General features: G+C 39.4%; 1 long non-coding RNA gene across 1 annotated transcript, besides 1 other annotated feature; it reads right to left on the reverse strand.

Annotated features, from left to right (window-relative positions):
* Positions 1-1,424: 1,424 nt before the first annotated feature.
* On the reverse strand, positions 1,425-16,322 carry LOC107986011 (uncharacterized). Its single transcript, XR_001740424.2, has 2 exons — positions 16,242-16,322; positions 1,425-4,673 (listed from the first exon to the last, which is right to left on the reverse strand). It is a non-coding gene; the product is annotated as an uncharacterized LOC107986011 (long non-coding RNA).
* Positions 13,103-13,715: an enhancer, noted in NCBI's record as "OCT4-NANOG hESC enhancer chr3:24560666-24561278 (GRCh37/hg19 assembly coordinates)". NCBI's record gives its function as "activates a minimal SCP1, AML or CMV promoter by ChIP-STARR-seq in naive and primed H9 embryonic stem cells {active_cell/tissue: H9 hESC(naive and primed)}" and the evidence as "EXISTENCE:reporter gene assay evidence [ECO:0000049][PMID:30033119]".
* Positions 16,323-23,255: the final 6,933 nt, after the last annotated feature.

The raw sequence follows: 23,255 nt of genomic DNA on the forward strand, positions 1-23,255 counted from the left end.
TATACCAGGAATTTTTCTGTCTCAAGATTAGCCATAGTGCTTCAGAGATTGGTACAAAAAGCTAAGAGCAAAGGCCTCTGTGTATGTGGAGTTGTGAAGTGGTCTTGGAAAAATGATGTCACATACTGACAGATTGGGGCTTACCTTCATTTGATGTCACAAACATAGGGAAAAATAGACTGCGGCCAAATTATACAGTGCATATGTGCATAGAACAATTGTGCAGGGTGTAGTCACCTTATCACAGAAAAGGAAAGGACACATGTTTTGATAATCTCAGTACAGTTGACAGTCAATACACCTTGAGCGGGTAGCTTTTATCTCACCCACACAACGTTTATTGAGGGCAAAGTGTCAGATGCCAGGGTCTGAAAATGTCATGGTAAAGAAAGCAAAATTATCTCTTCCTTTGTGGGCCTTTGAGTCAAATGAGATAGAAATACAACTAAATGTATATCAAGACAGCCTGGGCGACAGAGTGAGACTCTGTCTAAAAAAAAAAGTATATCAAGAGACATATAAAGATACATATGTACATATATAATATATATATATATATATATATATATATATATATATATAAATGGAGGAAAAAAGAATGTGATAGATAAGGTAATGTATGAAGGTATTTAATTTACATGAAATAGTCATGGAAGGCCTCTCTGAGAAAGTAACATTTCAGTTAGGAGTCAAGGTATGAATAGAATATATTATTATATATTTGGTATATATATTAACAATATATCATTTATATATTGTCCATATATGTGATATATATTAATGATTAATATATGATTATACATTATATATAATGTGTATATATACACACATGTATACATATACATTATATATAATGTGTATATATACACACGTGTATACATATACATTATATATAATGTGTATATATACACACATGTATACATATACATTATATATAATGTGTATATATACACATGTGTATACATATACATTATACATACACACATATATAAATACACACACAAACACACACACATACACACACTTATATAAATGAAATAGAAACTGGGAGTAAATCAGAAAGGATAGACTAAAGCAACAGGTAACATGTAATTAAATCATGAGAGAATACACCAGAATGTGGCCTGAAAAAGAAGAGAACTAACATTCAAATCATTGTGAAAAATATAAAACCCTTTATCCTGAAGCCCCATCAATGTTTCCCCATTTTTTCCCTTTATCATATTGCTGGATTTGAGTGAAACATAGTTTAGAAGAACATCTGCTTTAAATTATCATTCTGTTCTAGAGGCTGTGATCTCTAAGCCGAATAAAATGTGGAAGGATTGCATAGACTCTGTCAAGTTAAAGATCACATTTAACCATTAGTTGATGCACTATTGGAAAAGGGGAGAACACATTTCATGGTGTTTGGTGATGCCACATTCAGATTTTACAGTTTATTAAAGTTAGGAATAACAAATACAACAATGTTTAGAATGAACACATGGTCATGATTCACTGTAATGTAATAGTCCACCCATGTGTACTTCCTAATGACATGCGGAACACAAAGGAACAAAACGTTTCCTCTCTTCTTGTACCCTAGGTGGAGTTCCTCCTTTAGGGTTGCTTTATTTCCACCTTTGAAAAGGATCTTGATCCAGTGTGTAAAGTTCAGACTGCCTCCCTCATTTTCATTTGTATTTGTATTGAAAACAGTTGTAGGCCCAGGTTTCTCAGTCTTAGCACTATTGACATTCTGGGCTGGGTAATTCCTTATTGTGAGCACTGTGTTTTGCACTGCAGGAAGTTGAGCAGCACCCCTGGTCTCGACCCACTAGATACCAGTAGAACACACTTCCCCTGACCCCCTCAGGTTGAGGCAACCAAAAATGTCTCCACAAATGTCCCCAGGGGCCAGAATCATCCCCAGTTGAGAACTTTCTGTTCTACCTTCCGCTGTCAGAAAATTTGAATTTTGTTGCTGCTGCTTAAATAATTTTCTAGATTAAGAATCTGCTGTCTGGCATGTTTTAGCACCTTATAGAGAATAGAGAAAAACATGGAGCTTATTAATAACATATGTTACTTAATACATTTCTATCCTAAAACAATTCAAATCAGAACCTTAATGTTTTCCTCAAAATAGATGAAAAGAAAAAAATTCTGAAGCATGACATTTCAAGTAATATATTTCTCACAAATTGCCCAATAGACAGAAATAAATGTACCAAAAATAAGGTTATTTTTACAAATATTGCTGCAAAGAAAAAAAAAGCACATTTACTAATTATGAATCATCTACAATTCTTATGTTGGCAGTTAGTCCCCAGAAATGTAGCAAAGGAAACTGATAATCTAGGAAACACACAGTACCCCTAGAATACATCTGAATATTTTATAGTATCACCTTGCTCCCTTATATGGAAGTCTCTGAATAGAGAGCCAGTGTATTTAAATTTGTAACTCTATACTTCTTCCTCCCTCACCCACATGATACTCTATTACTCAGTGGAAACATTGCAACATAAAACAATTCATCTTTTCAGAATACATCAGCACTTAAAATAGTGTGATCAGATTGAAAGGACTGTAAAAAGGTTCATTTTCTCAGGTTGGGGATGAGACAAAGTAATGCATACTTACTACCACTGCCAACATCATAAAATCATGAGAGCAAAAAGGACCTAGTTTACCTACTGGAGGTTAGCTACGCAATGATGATAAATTAGCAGGGAGTTGTTAATGTGCCTACATGACCCATGACTAGTTAGCAAAATGTTTACTTCCGAAATAAAAGCCCAAGTCAGTGGAACATTTACAGGTCATTAGAAAAGATAAATGAAAAACCTGTCTGACCCTAACCTGGACTTGACTACACACACCCATTGCCTATGGGAAATAAGCGCAAATCAGACAGCCTATCAAATAAAACTCATGTATTGTTAAGAGGGTCCTCATTAATATGTTGCCACTCAGGGAAAGAAGATGTGGAATAATGAAGTAAAGTGAGATTTATTTTAGTTTCCTCCAAATTCCTTTCTATTTAAAACATTTTCCCATCTGTCATTAACAGCTATCACCTTGGCAATAGCAAATGAGAAAGCAGGGCTTATAGGGTATGTGTATATACATGAATACAAGGCAGTTGTCTTAATATTGTGCTTGCAACCATATTTAATTGAACAATGAATATATTCGAGCAGAATATACAGCATTATGTATTTCATCTTCTATTAATTTGTAGCAACCTTTTGGTAAGTCATCATTCAATAAAATAAATACAATTTTCTCTGAAATGTGAATGATAATTGAGTAGAAGATAGTTGAGTCTCTTATACCAACATATGAAAGCTCAGGAGGCCAAAGATTGAATCGTTTCATTCCTTTGGAACATAAATGTAAGAGAAAACACTCTCTGAGACTCTAGAGCCAAACTCCAAACAAGTGGTCCCTTATGTTCTCCATTGGTCTGCTTACTCTTGTTGCATTTATATTTCTTGTCAAGTCTAGTTATCTGGTTTCACAGACCCTTGTAGAGCTGAAAGAGCAATCTAAGAGCAGGTTGAAAGAAGACATACGAGAAAGGATAAAATTTGATTGAGCAGCAAGAGATGTGTTCTTGAAAATTAAGGTTAATTTGCTGTCATCCTGGCAGCAAAGACCACAAACTCTAAGGCAGTCACATACCTATTTTGGCTATTACACTACAGTATCATAACAGGTAATCAAGTGATCATAACTATCAGAGAATCAGAGTTCTGGATTGTTTGGGCCCTCAAAGTCTCCTCTGGCTGTCCTTCACACCCTTTCTTTATTGTCTGTCAAGTGGTCTTGTCTATGTTTTCATACCCCTGAGGAATGGGAATGGGTTATGTTCTGGCTCATCCAAATAACTGAGAAAGAATTAGACAAAGCCAAAGACAGAACTCTCTGGCACTCTACAAGCAATATCTACCCAGGTTGGCACCCATCCATTAATCAACTCAACACATTTTGGTATTGCCTGGTAAGCCTGGCTAGTCCAATATCTATGCCTATATCATTTCTCCAATTTACCAATCTAGTAGTCATAACAATAAAAGAAATAAAGTTAGCTTTACCTACTTATTCTCAGGGAACTCGTGCTGACTTGTAAGTTTCACTACTATCTCTTCTCAGGATCTATGACTGTCCCTTCAGGAACACAGTCCGGAAATACTGCTCAGGTTAATAAGTTCATAAGTCAAAAGACCATGCTTATTTATCCCTTCTGAAACCAAGAGGAATTATTTGATAACTTCAGTCAAAAGAAAAGCTAAGTGGTATTTAAGAGCCCCTTGTTCACATATATAAGAATAAAAATGATACATTTTAGAAAAGTTTTCATCAAAAAGGAATTAAAATGAAAGTGTCGCATCTGAGGCAACCTTCACTTGTGTGGAAAATTTACTTACCAAAGATTCATCATCACTTAATAATCATGCCAGTTATAGGAAGTAATTCTGTAGATTGTTGGTTCTCAAAATGTGGTCCCCAGACCAGCAGCGTCATATCACCTGAGAGCCTGTTAAAAATGCAGACTCTTAGACCCCACCGAAGATCTACTTACAGAATCAGTATCTCTGAGGATGAGGCCCAGCAATCAGTGTTAATAAACCATCCAGTTGATTCTGGGGCACACTGGAGTTTGAGAACCACTGTTGTCAAAGCTAAAATAGAATTAAGATTATAATGGTTAGCCTTCGAGCATTCCTAATGTAATGTTAATGGTGATGACGATGATGATAATTTTAATAGACAACATTATCTGGCCACTTACCTGTGCATGTAAGCCTTGTGCTAAGTACTTTAGGCCCTATATCACTTGTCAGTAGAGTCCAACAAAGTACTGCTATTCCCATTTTATAGATGAGATAATGAAATTGACAAAAATTAAGAAATTTGCCCAAGGTCAGCCATTACGTTGCAGAGTTGAGATAACCGTCCAGGTATAGTTGATTACATACACACGCCCCTCCACCCCTCACACACGTACGCACACCCTCATTCTTCACTACGATGCCATGCTGCCTTCTAGAATCAAGAAAAAAAAAAAACTTTCCCAACTTAAAATGCCTCTGTCCTGAGGACCTCATCAGGAATCATCCCCCATTGTCCACCTTCTCAGCAGCCAATTATCTGACCCTTCAGATGAGTCCTGACCTTCTCTTCCAATCTCTTGGGGCTCTAGAGACAAAATTCCCATGTTAATATGAGATTAATTTTTCTCAAAAGTGAACCTGAATTTTTCATTCTTTCTTTCTTTTTTTTTTTTTTTTTTTTGTGAGACGGTGTCTCGCTCTGTCGCCCAGGCTGGATGGAGTGCAGTGGCACCATCTCGGCTCACTGCAAGCTCCGCCTCCCGGGTTCACACCATTCTCCTGCCTCAGCCTCCCAGGTAGCTGGGACTACAGGCGCCCGCCACTACGCCCGGCTAATTTTTTGTATTTTTAGTAGAGACGGGGTTTCACCGTTTTAGCCGGGATGGTCTCGATCTCCTGACCTCGTGATCCGCCCGCCTCGGCCTCCCAAAGTGCTGGGATTACAGGCGTGAGCCACCGCGCCCGGCCCCATTCTTTCTTTATATACAAAAATGGGCCAGTGTCTTAATTATAAACTGGATTGAAGCTGAAAGAGACACTCACTGGATACCATCTGGATCTTTACTACTCAATGTGTAGTACCCAGACCATAAGTACCAACCTCATTCTGGTACATGTTAGCAGTGCAGAATCTCAGGTCCCACCCCAGACCTGCTGAATCAGAATCTTCATTTTAACAAGATCCTCAGGTGATCGCACACATATTGACATTTGAGAAGCACTGGCTTATCTAGACATATCCTGAGGAAGATGAGATCCCAGGAAATTGAATGACCCATTCAAGGTCACAAATCTAGTTACCCTCCCACTGAATATGTTTTTTTTCTATATCCCTGCAGCTTTCAACTATGTTCCATAAAAATAATGTTATTGCTGCTGCTGTTGGCTGTTATTGAGCACTTCCTATGTTCTGGACATTGTGCTAATTACTTTATATGGATTATCTCATTTACTCTGTTACCACATCCTATGAATTCAGTACAGTTCTATTATTATCTCTTTTTTTTTCTGATAGGGAAACCAAGGCCCAGACAGATTTAAATACTTGCTGTAAGTCGTGCAACTTCCAAGTGGTGAATCAGGGTTTAGAACTCATGTAATTTGACTTTGAAATCGGCCTGTATCTACTGGCCTGCATGTGTATCTTTAACTTTTCTCATCACTTTCAAAGCTCCTATCATGCATCTCAATCAATGAATCAATCAATCATATGTCTATCTAATTGTTTCGAGAGCAAAATGTTTATAAGATGTAGCCAGGCCAGGCGCAGTGGCTCATGCCTGTAATCCCAGTACTTTGGGAGGCTGAGGTAGGCAGATCACCTGAGGTCAGGAGTTTGAGACCAGCCTGACCAACATGGTGAAACCCCATCTCTACCAAAAAGTACAAAAATTAGCAGAGTGGTGCATGCCTGTAGTCCCAGCTACTCGGGAGGCTGAGGGGGGAGAATCGCTTGAACCCAGGAGACGGAGGTTGCAGTGATCCCAGATCATGTCACTGCACTCCAGCCTGGGCGACAGAGTGACACCCTGTCTAAAAAAAAAAAAAAAAAAAAAAAAAAAACAAAAAAAGATGAAGTCATACTGCTTGATGTTTATTTTCCATTTATCAATCTCAGTAATAGCAGTTCTTTTCCATAACTGCTTAGAAAAGAAAGCAAAAGGCCCCTTGCCTTCCATCCCATCATCTCATCCCTTATAGCTCAGTTGTCCTGCCCTTCAGCTGTCCTTCCCAGCCCCTTTCCCATCACCTCAGGAGCCCTGGTTTAGCAATCATTGTGACTTTGATGTTGTAAAGTCCTTGCCTACTGAGTTGAAAAGACAAGAGGGCTGTTGATTCCCCACTTCAGGAGTGCTCAAAAGTTAGAGGGAAAAAAACGTAGTTAGGAACAGTTATGACAGAGCCATATCTTAGATTAATGAATTGCTTTTGTGTGCTTTCTTGAAAACTTAACATGTAAGAGGTTATTTCCAGTAGCAACTTTTGCATACCAATCAACTTAACATCTGAAATGCAACCCACGAGTAAATTAGAAGGAGTCTATGTTATGTTCCAAAATGATTATAAAAGTTCCGCTTCTCTATAGCACCTTTAAAAAGTGTTGAATGTTCTAGAGTAAAATGATTTTCCTTATAAGATGCTGGTACTTCCCCCTCACACTATAGACACACACATTCAATAAGTAAAAACAATATCAGAAAAGCCCAGATCTATAAAAAAACACCTGAATTAGAATATGACTTTAAAATTTGAATTTGAGTTAGCTATTAAGCATCATGAAAATAGTCTTCCATTTGCACAAAAGCCAATTTCTACATAACTTTTCAGACTCTGGCTAGTATATGTTAACAAGATGAACTACAGATACTTTTGCTAGGGTCACTGTGGATCTAGACAATAAACAAACACTTTAAAAATCTTTGCTATGTGAATCATAAATAATATGACTGCACAGATTTGTAACATTCCCAAAGAAAAGTATTCAAGAATTTTATTCATATCTGGGAACAAACTCAGTTCATTTATTGGTGTTCTCCATAAAGCATGCACACACACACACACACACACACACACACACACAAACTCTCTCTCTCTCTCATGCTCACAAACAGACACGTGGTGCTTGATTCTAAATATCTTCTTTTAGGCTTCAATATCCTCAAAGTAAAGGCATTTCCTTATTCATGTTTTAATTTATTCTACTATAGCTACATGTTTTCTTGTCTTACTAAATGTTTGCTGAACTGAATAACACACCTTAACTACATATATCTGGAATTTCTGTTGTGAACTTTAATGGCAAATGGAAACGATTTGTGGGTTTTGTGGGGCTATCATTTTCAAACTCCTGATTTTTGTGATTTTTCGGGGCTGGCCATAATGCTATAGAGTTCTCTGATTTTATTTCTTTGGTACAAAAAAAGCAAAATGAATGAATTGTGATTGAGCCATGGAACCCAGTTGCTTGCATATGTAATAGGGATTCTAAATTACCACATAAACACAGCTGCAGTTTTTCAGTCCGAAGGCCTCGAGAAGCATGCCGACTGGGGAGTGGGGGTATTTGGAGCTCTAAATTTAAGTGCATTATTATGAGCTGTGATAGACAATCATCTCTTCTTATTTAAATCTCTGGGCAACTATAAAACTAGACTGAGTCAAGTTTCTTATCTATGCCCAAATCTGAACAAGCAAGCTTAGCTCATATCTTAAAAGTTGACAAATTGTACTTTATGGTATGTCATCAGCTGCTACATTTATGAAGCTACCGGAAGGTTAACAGTTTAGGAACAGTTTATATTTTAATTATCTCATAAAAGATATTTCAAGTCATCCAAATTGATATAAATCATGTTTTCTTGCAGGGCAATAACTTCACACAGGAAAATAGATGTTTATTTACATATACAGACACATATATACACACTAAAACCTTTGTGCATGAATTTTAGCTTGAAAACAATAAGGAAAGGTAATTTTAAAATATATTTTCTTGCTAGTTTTTGAGTCACTATATTGGAGGAGAAAATACCTCTAAATAAACTTGTTTACTAAATTTGTTATTTAAATTAATTTAACAAGAAATATGTTTCATGATTTAAGCAGTGCTTTAATAAAGTTTATATATTCAATGCCTTCTTTTAATATGCTTAGTAATATTTAAGATATTTTGAACAAAATTAATTACTCATTTATGGAAAACAGAATCCTATGACTATAGTCCCTTAAAGTATTCAATTGCATCAAATCAAATCAGGAAAGTTTTGCATACAAAATGAAATGAGAACTATCACCATGCCTTAATACTAATTAAATTAATTCAATAAAAAATTGGAATCAGAGTCAATGTTATGTGGCCATTTTGTGTGTGTAAGGCTAGCTAGATTTAAGAAGAGTCTAGTGACAAAAGTCAGGATTGGACAAACTGAATTATAAATTATCTACTTTGTGGTCTAATCCTAGCAAATTATAAATCCAAGTTCTTTTCCTGTGGGTAACCAATACTGTTATGGGTTATCTTCTTTCTCCAGCACCTTGGGGAAATTCAATCTAAATCTGGAGTTAACTGAAACAACACTGACAATAACAGTATCACAACAAACAGAGAAACGAAACCAAAACAGGTGATCTGTCCTTTACTCCAACCGTTTCAAATCAGATAGATTTAGGGAGAAGGGAATAATAAGTTAAATAATTCCTTATTTTTTTGTTTACCATTAAACATGTTGTAATTGAGGATTATTTGTTTTTTATTGAAGAAGTGTTTGTTTTTTATGTTTTCTGAAAAGAAGTGATACTTCTTTCTAACATTGTTCAGACCACACGGTTAATTCAAATAACTATAAAAAGTTTACGTTTTTCCATTATATTAATATTTGATTTTTCACAAAACAAAGGCATCAGATGCACAAAGAGTCAGCAAAAGCATCACTTTCTACTGATTCCAGTTAAGCCAACTTTAGCAAAAAGAATCATTGCAGGAAAATTGGTCTTCAGCAAAATGTATTCATTTATAACAAATCAAATACAATCAGCACTTTTGAAAAATGAACAGTTATACAATCCCTCATGGATGTGTAGAGATTCACAGTACTCTAGAGTGGGAAGAAATTACAGAAGTTACCTAGTAGGAACTCTTGTTTGACAGTTGAAGAAAACTGAGATGCACAAGATGGAAACCATTGACCTCAGACTGCTGTAAGCCCTCGAAAGTGGAGCACCTGTGTCTAATTCTGTGTTTGTGAAAACTATATTGTCCCTCATTATATTTTTCCTCTTCTTCCTTGGCAGTAAAATTTCTAGCTGGACATATGGCTCCCCAGAATGAAGTCTGTGCTCCCTAGCATCCCTTCAGCATCTTTGGTGCTACCGGATAAATTCTGAGCAATGGACATATAAAGAAGTGTTGTGTGGTTGCATCTGGGAAGTTCCTTTATGCTTTGTCCTTTATTTTTCACCCTCCTCTTCATGATGGCTGAACATTTGTACAATGGCCAGACCTGGAGAAACCATCTTGGGGGGACTTGGGAATGGAGGTCCAGCCTTGGGGAGCAACAAAGTCAGAGGATCCTAAATTTCATGAAGGAGGATCCTGGAACTTGGGCTTATAGACTTTTAAATGAGAGAAGATAAAAAAAAGAAAGGCCTATTTCATTTAAGAAATGAATAGTTTTTATTTTTCTATTACTTCTAGTCAAATCTAATTCCATTTCCTATTTGGCTGTGACAGCAGATCCTTGTGCAGTGACTGACACATAGTGGGTGTTCAATAGATGTTTGAAGCAATCTGGGAGGTATCCCTGATACCTTCTCCTTCCCCATATCCAACTCAGCATTGATGTCTATCAGTTTTACCTTCTGACATCTCTCAAATCTGTGCACTTGTCTTAATCTCCCTCCACCCATGTGAGCTGAAGCTTCTCTAGACCTTGTGTTGCCTAGGCTACTCAAAAGCCTTCTAAATGGTCTCATCACATCACATCCTTTTCCACTAAAAACTTGATTTTTGTTTTTTTTAGGAGCCAAATCCTTGACATAGGCTATGGGTCTTATTTCTCATCATTTTTAGTCTTACCATATGAGCTCCCCATTTCCTTCCCACCTCTTCTGAATTCACTTCTAGGAATCCTCAGGCCTCCCCTTAGCACTTCCTCAGGAAAGACTTCCTCCTGCAGAAAATCTCTCACTATCTTCTTATAGCACTGCACATTTCTGTATGTGTCATAGCCTGTCTCTCCCAGTAAACTGTAAGCCCCAAAGAGGCAGTCATTATGGATGTTTTACATACTTTTATATCCTTAGTGTCTAGTATGGTGTCTGATACATATTAGATGCTTAATAAACATTTGCTGAATGAATAAATGGTATTGCAAATGCCATTGTTGGGATTTGGAAAATCGGTGGGCAGTGACTGGGTTTTAAAAGACAGAAAGAGAGGAGGAAAGAGAGAAAGGGAGGAGAGAGAGAGAGAGTGAGAACTCTTATGTTTACCTTATAAAATAGCCATTTAGCTCATTAGCTTAGTCAAATTCTAAATAATCTTAACTCCTAAGATTGGATGGACTAAAGTTTGAAGCCTACTGTCTTCCCATCACTGTCCTGAGCCTGACATCTAATAATTAGATCAGCAGTCATCAAAGTGATTACAAGACCATTTCTGGGGGTCCATGAGATCCTGCCTTTCCAAGCTGGATATGGTCATATTTTCTTCACATACTTCAACTCAAACAACATACTACAGCAGATTGAATGCAGAAGCAGTTACGGGACTCCAGCTGTACTATTAAACTAAACGCTATGGTTTGAATGCTCACTCCAAAAATCATGTTGAAATTTAATTGGATAAATTAATTGGGACATGGGGCCTTTAAGTAGTAGATTAATACCCTTATTGCAGGAGTTGGATATTTATCTCAGGAGTGGGCTCCTGGTAAAAGGATGAAGTTTGGTTTCCATTTTTCTCTCTGCCTCACGTGCTTCCTTGTCCTTCGGTCATGTTACGATGTAGCAAGAAGGCCCTACAGATACAGCCCCTTGATCCTGGACTTCCCAGCCTCTAGAACTATGAGCGAAATAAATTTATTTTCTTTTAAAGTTACCCAGTCTGTGATGTTCTATTAGCAAGAAATGACATTTAAACCTTTTGCAAAAATGTAAAATAATGCCTTTTGTTCACTAAATAGTTTCTTATTTTGGAAAATATAGTTGTTTTTTAAAAAACATGTTCTTTACATTAACACATAAGGATTTATCATTGCTACTTTTAAATGATTAGTAAAAATATTTTAAACATTACTCATTTTCCATTCTAATACTATTGCTGCTATTTATAATATCCTATTTATTGATGCTATTTATATATCCTATTTATAATCCTCAGAATCAAAGCTCTTTGGGGTCTTCAATACTTTTTGAGAGTATGAAAGGGTCTTGAGACCGAAGCATTTGTGAACTGCTGCATTAAAAAAAATCATTTCTTTGGTTTAAGACTTAGTCTCCTTAGTCTCTCAAACTACAAGTAAGTAGGAATGCAGCAGTAGAAAGAACCTAGATTTTTGGCATTAGTCAATGTGGCTTGGAAAGCTGGTGTAGCCTCAATAACTGGTTGTGTGAACTTGGGAAAGTCAGGTAACTTCTGAGAGTCTCATTTTTCTCTTAGGATAAAAACACCTCAGTAGGTTATTGTGAAAATAAAAGAAAAACATGAGAAAGCACTCAGCATAGTGCTGGCACATAATAGGTATGTGCTTGGCACACAGAAGTATTAAATTTTATTGTCAACTATACATTGGTGTGAGTTTGTTAATCTTTTTTCAAACGGCTTTTAAGGATCTGGTGATGCAGTGGTACGTGGTAAAAGTTTAGTAACTAGCTCTCTGGAAATAAAGATTCCTGTTTTTTAGAATTTGCTGATTCTCATGCTGTAAATATTTGCACCTTGGCTGATTTTAATGTCCATTTGGAGGAGATGGGCTCAAATCACTTGTGAACAGGTATGAGACAGTTTCAGCATAAAATGTTCTGGGCCCAAGAGTGGAATCTAGAAAAAGGAGACACATAAGGTAGAATAAGAGTCTCAGGACGTGATGGTGAAATTTCGGCTAATTCAGTATTTTGCCTCAAGCCTTTCCTTTAACGCTTAGAGTTCCCAGTTTTCTTTTTGGTTGGATTGAATCACTGGCATCACCAAGAGGGTGCCATGAAGACTTTCGTATCCAAGTTATCTGCCACCGAGTCTCATATTACCACCAGAAGAGTAACTATTTGGGGAAGCATATTGTCCAGATAACCTAGTTAAAATAAGGGATCATTGACAGATTAGTCTGGCTTAGATGTCAGAGGTGTAATGCCCTAAAATGATGCTGCAGAACAGTGGATCTCAAAGAGTGCACCCCAGACAAGCAGCAAGGTATCACCTGGTTGTTGGAAATGAAAATCATCAGATCCCACTCAGCCCTATTAAATTGTAAATTCCGGGGGTGGGGCCCAGCAATCTGAGTTTTAACAAACCCTTCCTACAGAACCCCTGGTGTAGGAGAAGTTCACGAACCCAGATAGGTGGGAAGACTGCAGTGATTGGAGCAGGGAGTGATCTGGGCATCCTGGGTATCCCAAGGGAACCTGGGGCAAAGACAAGCTGAGACTGGGCACAGCGGGTGCTGTTGGTTCCCGCTGGAGCCCCTTCACTGATCTGGTACTTCCCTCGCCTTCTGTGGTGTGTTGGTTGCTAAGGACTCGAAGATGTTCCCTTCTCTGGAGAACTGCCAGGGCTGCATGACAATAGCTACAAAAGCCTCCCCCTTTGCTTCAAAGTGAAACTAACTCTGTGATGTAGTTCATGTTCCTAGTGGGACAGACTAAAGCCAGTCTCCAGTAGGGATGACAGTCTTGCTCACCTTCTCGCCTGCCCAATTCTGCTCCCCTTACTCTTCTCCTAAAAGCACTCCTGACGAAAATCGCCTCAGCATGAATCTTGGTCACAGGTTCTGCTTCTAGGAAACCTGACCTGAGACCGGGTTTCAAAGTGAGACAATTCTGGGTTTGCGTCTGGACTTCCCCGACTGTTAACTATGTGACTTCAGGTTTGTTGGGTAATCTCCCTTGTCTTAGTTTCCTTAGGTGTTAAATGGAGATAATGATGCCCACTTTGCGGGTTTGCTGTGGCAATGAAAGGGACACTGTATAAAAGTCCTCAGCACAGTGCCTAGAGGGTGGTATGGACTGTCCGGAGCCTCCTTTGATCTTTTGCTGACTCGCCTTTTGGCCTTGGGCATGTTAATGTTTTCATGTTGTCTGTTTCCTTCGTAGGGACTCACCGTGTATCTAACACCAGGCTACCTCACCAATAACTAGAAGTGAGAAGTATTGGTTCAAGTGGTAAAGTACTTGGCAAAATGTGGAGTGCGGGCATAAAGCATAACGGGCACTAACCATACAACAGAAGGTGGAGATATTGGGAAAGAAGTGTCTGGGAGTTCAGAGGCTGGGAGAGGTGGGTGCTCTGGCCAGAGGCTTCCTGGGATTTTCCTCCCCCTACCCCCTCCCAAGTAGCAGCAGCACAGTGAACTTGAAGACCTTGGAAACCGCAACTTGGTTTTGCCCAAGTCTGAGGAGTCTGATAAACCCGGAGGCAAAAAAAGGCAGGAGAGATTGGGGTGACTTCCTGCCTATGCCCTGTCTTTATCCAGAGTTCCTTCTTGTCTTTGAGGTCTAGACTCAGTTGTCCCTTCACAGAAGCCTTTTCCAACCAGCCCATTTTAAGTGCCCTTCTCCATCTCATGGCCCAATTCTACTATTTTCCCAGCATTTACCTCCACTAGGCAGTAGTTTGTCTGGGTGTTTGCTGAGGTGTGTATAGTCTGTCTCCTGTTGGAACTCCTGAGGGTAGGGGCTCAGTGTGTCCTGCTCCCTGCTCTTTCCCAGCTACACAGTAGGTCCTCAATCAATACTTGGTCTTGGAGTCACTGGATTCGAATACATTGTTGATAAGTGGTAAGCAGGTGCAGTCGTTTGGAAACCTGTTGGCCATGTCTACCAAAGCTGAGCAAATGCCTTCTTAAGATTCAGCAATTCCATTCCTAGTCATTTATCCACAGAAATGCAAAAATGCCCACCAAAAGGCATGTACCAGAATGTTCACAGTAGCATTTTTTGTAACAACCACAAAACTGGAAGCTACCTATATCTTCATTAAAATAGAATGAATAAGCTAATTGTAGTATATTCATACAAAGAAATACTGTGTACAGCAATGAGAAACAACCATCTTCAACCATAGGCAAAAGCATGGATGAATCTCACTAACATGCTATTGAGTGAAAACAAACCAGACACAAAAGAGCACATTCTCTATGATTCTATTTACATAAAGTACAAAAACAGGCAAAACTAGTCCTGGTGTTGGAAGGCAGGGTAGGGATTGCCCCGATTGGTGGAAAGAGCTGAGGGGGCATTGAGAGTGCAGGTCATGTTCTGTTGCTTGGTGTGACTGCTAGTTAAACAGGTGTGTGAAGTTCGTGAACAAGCATCTAGCTGTGCACCAGGCACCTTTGATACTGCAATGAAATATACATTACAACAATTGCATGGGGTTTTCCCCAGGACAGTGTAGCCAGTCTCAGTAACATTTCCATTAAATAAGACTTGCTGGGAGCTTGGAGCCCCAGAGTTAGGAGCTCACTCTTGCAGAGATGTGCGCGGCCCCACCCGCCCTGTTCTTCCGACGCACTGCCAGGCCAGCGAGCGCTCACCGGGCTGCCTAACGCGCAGCGGAGGGGACTCGAGTCCCGAGACCCGGAAGGGGCCGCCCAGCGCTCTCAGCCGGCTCGTAGAGCCAGGGCCGGGCTCAGGGAGCTTCAGAGCAAGAAACACCGAAGGTGTAAAGCCCGAGCGAGCAGCTCGAGTCTCAGTCCTGCAGCCTAAGGCAGCCCCTCCAAGCCGTGGGCGCCGGCCGTCCGTCTCCTCACCGTGGCGCCCTTTACTCGGCCACCCGGGGCACAGCCAGGGGCTTCACCGAGCCCCGGGTCCACCGTGGTCGCGGCCGCCGGTCGCCGGGAGCCCGGAGCCGGGACGCGAGGGTTGGGGGTTGGGGATGGGTCCCAGTGTCGCGCGGGAGTTCAAAGCCCGGCACTGGCACGGGGCTCCGCCGCCGCAGCCGCTGGAGCCTTGGGCTCCCGCCGCGGGGAGAGCGGGGGTAGGGCGCCTGTCCCGGAGTGACCCGGCGGCGGAGGAAGGGCGGGCCGCAGGCGGCGGGCCCGGGGGACCTTGAGCGGGCGGGCGAGGAGCGGGTGAGACCGAGGTCGACAGAGTGGGGGCCCCACGAGGCCCGCGCCTGGTCGGGAAGAGAGTAGGAGATTCCCCCGCGAGCTCAGACCCGGCACTGAGGGAAGAGACACTCCGAGTCCTGCGTCTCCAAGTTTTGCTCCAATGCCCTTGACATTGAATGCATGTGTGGCGTCTATCCTGGCGCAGGCGATTTGATATTTTCAATAGGCCTAACCTCACCAGTGGCGTGCCCGGCCCGGCTGGCTAGCGGCTCCTGTCCCCAAGACCCCCGCAGTCACCAGACCTTTGCACTGCCCAGCGCTGGAGGGGGCGACCAGAGCCTTACAGGCTCCACGGTGGGCGGGCTCTTACCTCCTGACTTATTCCTCCTGGCGCTGCAGGGGGGACTGAGGTTAGGTGTCCGGTGGGAGGCTGGACTGTGTGTGCGTGTGTGTTGGGCGGAGGCGTGGGGGGAAGGGAAGTGGAGGGTAGGTTGCTGAGCCCAGGGTCCGTAACAGCAGCACATCCCAGGTTCCACCCCCACCCACAGGGCTGGTAAATCCTCCCCTTTCCTGGGGTCTGAGTGAGAGGATAGTACAAAGGTCAGATTGTCCAAAAGGATAGTGGGTTCTGCTGTGAGATTTAATTGTGACGGCATCACCAAATGGCCGTTGAATTTCTCGATCATTTCACAGAGGAAGACATCCTATTTTGAGTGTCCTGAAGTGATTTTAATTTTCATCTGGGCAGGTGGTGATAACTTCTGGAAACACCAAGGACTAAAAAGGAAGGAAACTGCAGAAAGTGGGGGGCCACAGAAGCAGCAGCTCGCAGTCATGTTCCAAGACTAGCAATCCATAAACATTGCTTGCCCTGGGGGGGGGAAAATAAAGATTTCGCCAATACTGCATCTCTTCGATTTTTACCCATTTCCTTTACTTGGTCCTATTTTTACTTGGTCAAAGAAACACGTGTATCATATACTCAGAATTTCCCCTTAATTATAAGTTTTTTACAAAAAGTCAATAAAAGACAAAATGGGAAGTGTTGAAGCACTGTCCAGAAACTATAGTAATAGCAATATAAAAAGAAGGGTAGTGAACTGACCTTAGCAAATTTGCTCTGCCACTAATTTGCTAGTCAAGTGACCCTATTTTCCTGACTCTGTTTCTTTAGTAAAATGTGGATGTTATCATAGGTGACCGCAGATCCTGAAGTTCCTTTGTGTGTGGGGGGGGGAGGGTGGGTGAGATTTAAAAATTTGATTCAAATAAATTTCCATTCGCTCTATGGTTCAATATTTAATGCCCTGCCTGTTTTAAGCTGAGGAATAGATGTCTGAACATACATTTCCTCATCCTAAATCCCTTTGATCCTCTCATAATGCTCAAAGTGCAGTGTTGATGTCTGGCAGGCTTTGTGTTCAGTTTGTACCATTTGCAAATGTAGTGAGGATTACAGTGGAATGGAGGAAAGAATGGCTGCAGGATTTCTTGGACCAGAGAAACTCACACTTCTCTTTCCATTTTCACTCTCATTAGCACACAACTTTTAAAAGTTGGCCTGGGCACAGCAACACTTTCACACATCCATACTAAAATCCATGCTAATCTTTCCCATGGGATGTAATTCAATTGAATTGACATTCTAATAAAATACTGGCGAAGACACAATCACAGTTTCCCTGCAATGCATAATTAAAATAGCACTATGCAGTTGCTTACACTTCAGATAATGGCTTCCTACATATTGTTGGTTATGAAATTTCAGGGTTTTCATTTCTGTATGTTAATAGAACATTTAAAAACGACCCTTTTTAGCAAAGTTGTAATCTTAGTTTGTCATTGCTAGGAATGTGCTAAAGCCTAAGTCTGCTTTCAGATTGGTCTTGGGCAGTAACTTAATGTATCAAAAACTGCCTTCAAATCTGTGCTTTCTGTTCATAGCTTACTGAGCCCCCTCTCCTACCTTGAAATCATGTGCTTAGGAGTGGTTTGAATCTACCATATATATATTTGGGAAGTCTTAACTATCTTCTAAAAGACTAAAGAGTAAGGGATGATTTACCTTGGGTAATGAAACTCAGATTTTGCTGTTGTTTTTGTTCCAAAGTGTTTTATACTGATAAAGCAACCCCGGTTTAGCATTGCCATTGGTAACACTGTGCAGAAATACTATGCACTTTGGGTTCCTTCACTTCACTTAAAATCTGTGGTTGCTAAATTGTTGATACTCTAGGTTATGAATTAACCAGTAGTCAAACTGAACAATTCCCCATTGACAGTTTTTGTTTAATGGCCAACAACACCTGAAATTTGGATAAAGGAGCTGGAAAAGAAGAGTGGGCCCCTTTGTGGATTCCTACATGTTTTAGGTAAAGCTTGATTAGTTGTTCCTCACCTATATTATGGGGCTATTTTTAGCAATGCCCTTAGCTAGATGTATTTACTCATGGGACATAACCTTACTGATACTGTACATTTGTAGTGTTAACAATCTCTGACTTAGGAATGTGGTCTGAGTCATAGAACACCTCAGAAAGTGGGTAAAGCTTATTATCGAAGCTGGGAAGGGCCACATCCTTTATTGGGGCTCAAGGCATTTAATCACCAATGATTCACACATGAACTCTAAACTAGGTTTACCCTCCAAAGTGGAGATAAGTCCTGGGTGCCCAGACCAGTGAGGAGCGGGAGGATTGAACTGTGAAGTGTATTGAAGTATATTCCCTACAAGTACTTCTCTTTGAGCAGAGCTATATATTTAGGTAGACTGCTCTCAGGCAGAATGAAACATGATGGCACCTGCCACTCACGACCAGGAACCAAACAGGAAAGAATCCAAATTCTGTGTTTACAGGGCTTTCATGCTCAGTAAAATGCATAAGCACTTTTATTAGGGTTCTTAAAATTAGAAATCTATACTCCTATTTTGCTTTCATTTTCCTTTGGGATTTAAATAAAGCACTCCTACCCTCCCCGCCCCCCGATCCCAAATCACACCCTCTTTTGGCTGTGTTAACAAAAGTTAGGTCCAGGAGACAGAAGGGTTACACATATATGTGGGAGCTGTGCAGAGTGAACAGTATTGGTAAAAGAAAATTCAGCTCAAGACAGAAACTAAATGGAGATGTGAAAGAGCAAGGCTAAGCTAGACTTTCAAGCAATTGAACATTTCTCATTTGTTTTACAGTGAGAACTGCTGCCCTACCAGACCAACAGTATTTTAAATGTGAATTCTGTCTCCTTACCAGCTGTTTCAATTAGGCAAGGTAGCTGTGTAACAAATAGACCCCAAGATAAATAATGGCACAAAGAATAGTCAATGATAGTTTTTCTTGGTTGGGGTGTAGTGGTGGCTATTCTCCTTCATGTTGTTACTCTAGGACCCTGGCTTTTCTTATCTGTGGCTCCACTATCCCTTTGACGTAATCTTTTGCATCTAGGTAGAAGAGGGAAAGTAGGGTCAAGGAAGCATCTGCTTGAAAGCTTTGAGCTAAAAGTGGCACACATAATTTTTGTTCACCTTCTCTTGGCTAGAACTCAGCCTTGTGGCCTTACCTCCCCGTGAGAAAGCCTGGGGTATACAACCTAACTGTATGACAAGGAAGAGAAGGGAACGGAGCCTCAGTGCACAGCCAGCAGCCTGAGCCACATCATCTTGGTGTCCCAAATGCTGTAGTCACAATAGCAAATATTTATTAGTGCTTATTATGTGCTAAAGACTTCACATACATTTTTTCCCCACTTAATCCTCACAGCAACCCTATAAAGTAAGAAATATCACTCCCATTTTACAGATGGTAAAACAGAAGTTTGGCAAGGTTAAAAAAAACTTGCACAAAGCTGAACAGCAAATGGAGAGTCAGAACTCATACTTAAAATGCTCTTTGTCTGAGGGGTCAGAATTCTTTTCTAAGCTAGAGAATTGGCCTGGACAGGGAAGCAGAGACAATACCTCACAAGTATCTTTCCCTCTTTTGCAAAGAACCAAAGAACTGTTATTTCTTCCTCCTTTGCCAAACCTCCCTTTGGAGATGCTGAGAGGAGAGAGGCTGAAAGAATTGGAGGAGGGAGGTGATTAAATCACCTTAAATCTGTTTTAAAAATCTCCATTTTCAAAAGCTTTCTGTATTTAACAATGCTTGACTGTGAGAGACACTAGCCCCTTTTTGGGGCCAGCAGAGTAACAGAACGCAACTTCTAACAGACTGGCCGGCATGCTAAGGTAGCAATTGTATTTAAATTTCAGTATCAGTAACTCTAGCTGGAACCACCTAAAGCAAAAGGAAGGAAGGGGTATCAGGGCACATTTTCACTCCTTCAATTGCTCTGGGGGCTAGAAATGGAAAGTTTTATGTGACAGAGTTTATTTTTGCAACTTGCAATTTTCCTCTCCTTTGAAAATTAAGGTGGCCTGAAAGAGTTTTATATGTGGGCCAATACAGCAGCACATTTATGAAGTGAAAAAGTAAAGGTTTCGTGGTATCATAAGCTCACCCACACTATACATAAATTTATTACTTAAAATGCTCCAGATTTAAGTTTTATTATGGAGATAGTGTGTTATAAGCAAACTAACTTTGGATTTTGGAGTTTTTGAAAGTAAATAGCAGCTCATGGTGCTCATGTAATTTGTTTATTTTTATAGCAATGTTATGTCCTGAAAATAAACAAACAAAAATTAGAGTCTGAAAAGCTTCAAGGTTTGTATGTACCTGAACACAGAAAGTCAGAAAACATTCACTTTTAATTAAGCCAACATTTTAAAATTTAGAAATTCTTTTAAACAAAGTCAAAATTTGGATGATCATTTTTAATGCTTAATTATACATATACATATATATATGTATATGTATATGTATATCCATAAGCTATGAAAGTTAGTTAACAAAGGCATAGAAATAGGATGAAAAGTGTTCTTTGAAGGCGATTTTCTAAACTTCCTCACGGAGTTCTGTTTATCCTGACCTGGCAAGGCTGCTGTATTTCAATTCAGGGCTCTTTTGCATACAGAAGTACAGACTTGCTGAGCTGAGCCAAATCTGTCTATCCAATTACTGGGTAAGAGAGCTGACTGTAGCTTTAGGCAAAACCTGTAATCTGTAAAACTCTATAGTATCAGTGACAGCCTAATCACAGGGAAGAACCAATAGAGTGTATATGTTACTTGAGTGTTACACAGATGCATAGTTCTCTCTACAAATAACCCAATTCAAATCTAACACCAAAGAGCAATGAAATATACAGAGCCTTGAAAAGAAATATCATTTGCTATCTCTACAGTAATTTTTGGATAGAATGGTTTTCAAAGGGAAATAAATTCTCTCAATGTATTGCAGATCACTTAGCTGAGTACTAGTTTGAATGCTTTTATTACGTTCAATAAAAATCTGGTTTAGCAACTGTTGCTCTCAACATCTAGCTATTTTAGTGACTTTATAACATTTGGTAAAATTATATTTTGCTAGAATTTACATTGTTTATAAGGAGAATGAATTCAAGGGTAATGTTTGATTATATTTTATCACACAAAATCCAATAATGATTTAAATTTAAGATGAAAAGTTAATCTCTATAAAAACATAACATTCAGTGAAAGCAGCAAGATACAAAACATGTACACACTGTATATGACATACAATTAAAAGGCAGGCAAAAATTTATTTATCTAGCATGTTAGAGGTCAGGAGAAGGAATATCTCTAGGGAGGAAGACAGGCAGAGTGGTTGGGGGAAGTAAATAAGTGGGCTTTTAGGGTGATGATAATGTTCGATTTCTTAACCTAGGTCCTGGTTATACTGGTGTGTTCATTTGTGATAATTCACTGAGCTGTAAGCTTAAGATTTGTATATTTTTCCATATGTGTGTAATAAGCTAATTTAAAAAGTTAAAAAAAGTTCATCTCTACAATGTAATGTTAATGTTTTAAGAAAGAAAGGATGATAATTATGAGCATTGATTGGGTATTTTTGAACCAAATATTAGTCTTGTAGTCACAAAAGAGCTAGTCAAACTTTTTTTTTAAATTCAGATTTCTTCCCATTTTAGTTTATAAAAATAACTCAATTTCTATGGAAAAAGTGAAATAGATTTAATCTGTATGGCTTACAATAGGAAAGTGAATTCTTTTTTTCATGCATGGAAATATGGGCAAGAATGAAATCAGGGCAGGGTATACTTAAGAAGATATTTTAATTCATGATATCAGTATATCTTATAAGAAACCGAAAACCCCTGTAAGCGAGATTTTGCTAGGCCCAGCGTTTTTAGTGGTAATGAAGTTTCATGGCCATTATCGTGATCATCTGGTAATCAATACCTGGGATATCTACTCCAGTGGAAATAAAAACCCTGGTAAAATGTTTCCATTTATAGTTTTTTAAAATAGAGGAGGGAGCAGATAATAGATGACTTAGTAAATGTATGTTAAAATGGTTAAGCAGCTAAACAATTTTTTAATAAATTATGGCTTAAGTTTGATTTAGTTTTTTATTTGTTTTAATTTCTTTTAAAATAACAGCAAGAAATTTCATGTGAATTTAGCCTCATTTATAATGGCAAGCCAAGTAACTTAATGCTTTTATCCATCCCCCAGCATTTATTGAGGGCTTCTATTTGCCAAGCCACTGAGAAACAACGGTGCAGGAAACACATCCTTCACGAGCTTACAGTTTAAGAGGAAGAGTTAATCTGTCTCCCTCTCTCTCTTTGTCTCTGTCTGTCTGTCTGTCTGTCTGTCTCTCTCTCTCTCTACACACACACACACACACACACACACACACACACACACAAGCATTTACTATGTGTCAATATCTGTTCTAGGTTCTGAGGAGCTTCAGAAAGATAGAAGAACATTAAAACATTCTCGTCTTTTTAGGAGTTACATTCTGCTAGGAGAAGACGAACAATGAACACGGTATTTGAAGAATTCTTCAAATATATATTTATAATTTTTACATAAATATAGATATATAAATGTAGTTACATGTGTTTAAAGTGTGCTTCTGGTAAATAGGATGTAGCTGGATCTTGCTTTTTTGCCTGGTCTGACAATCTCTGCCTTTTGATTGGAGTGTTTAGTCCCACTGTGTTTTCTGGTGCACATGTCTTACAAACCAGGACACTCCCCTACATACTCACAATATCACCATTGAAATCGGGAAATTAACATTGATTTATTACTGCTACCCAGTCTTCAAACCTCAGTCAAATTTTGTCAGTTGTCTCAATAATCTCCTTTATATAAAGAAAAGGGCCCATCTTAGTATCCCTTTCAGTTCTTCAGTCTTTACTTGATTTCCACAACCTTGATGCTTTTGAAGATTAGAAGTAGTAATTTCATAGAATTGTTCAATTTTTTCCTAACTTGTTTTCTGAACTCATA

This window comes from Homo sapiens, chromosome 3 (assembly GCF_000001405.40).
Source record: "Homo sapiens chromosome 3, GRCh38.p14 Primary Assembly".
NCBI lineage: Eukaryota > Metazoa > Chordata > Mammalia > Primates > Hominidae > Homo > Homo sapiens.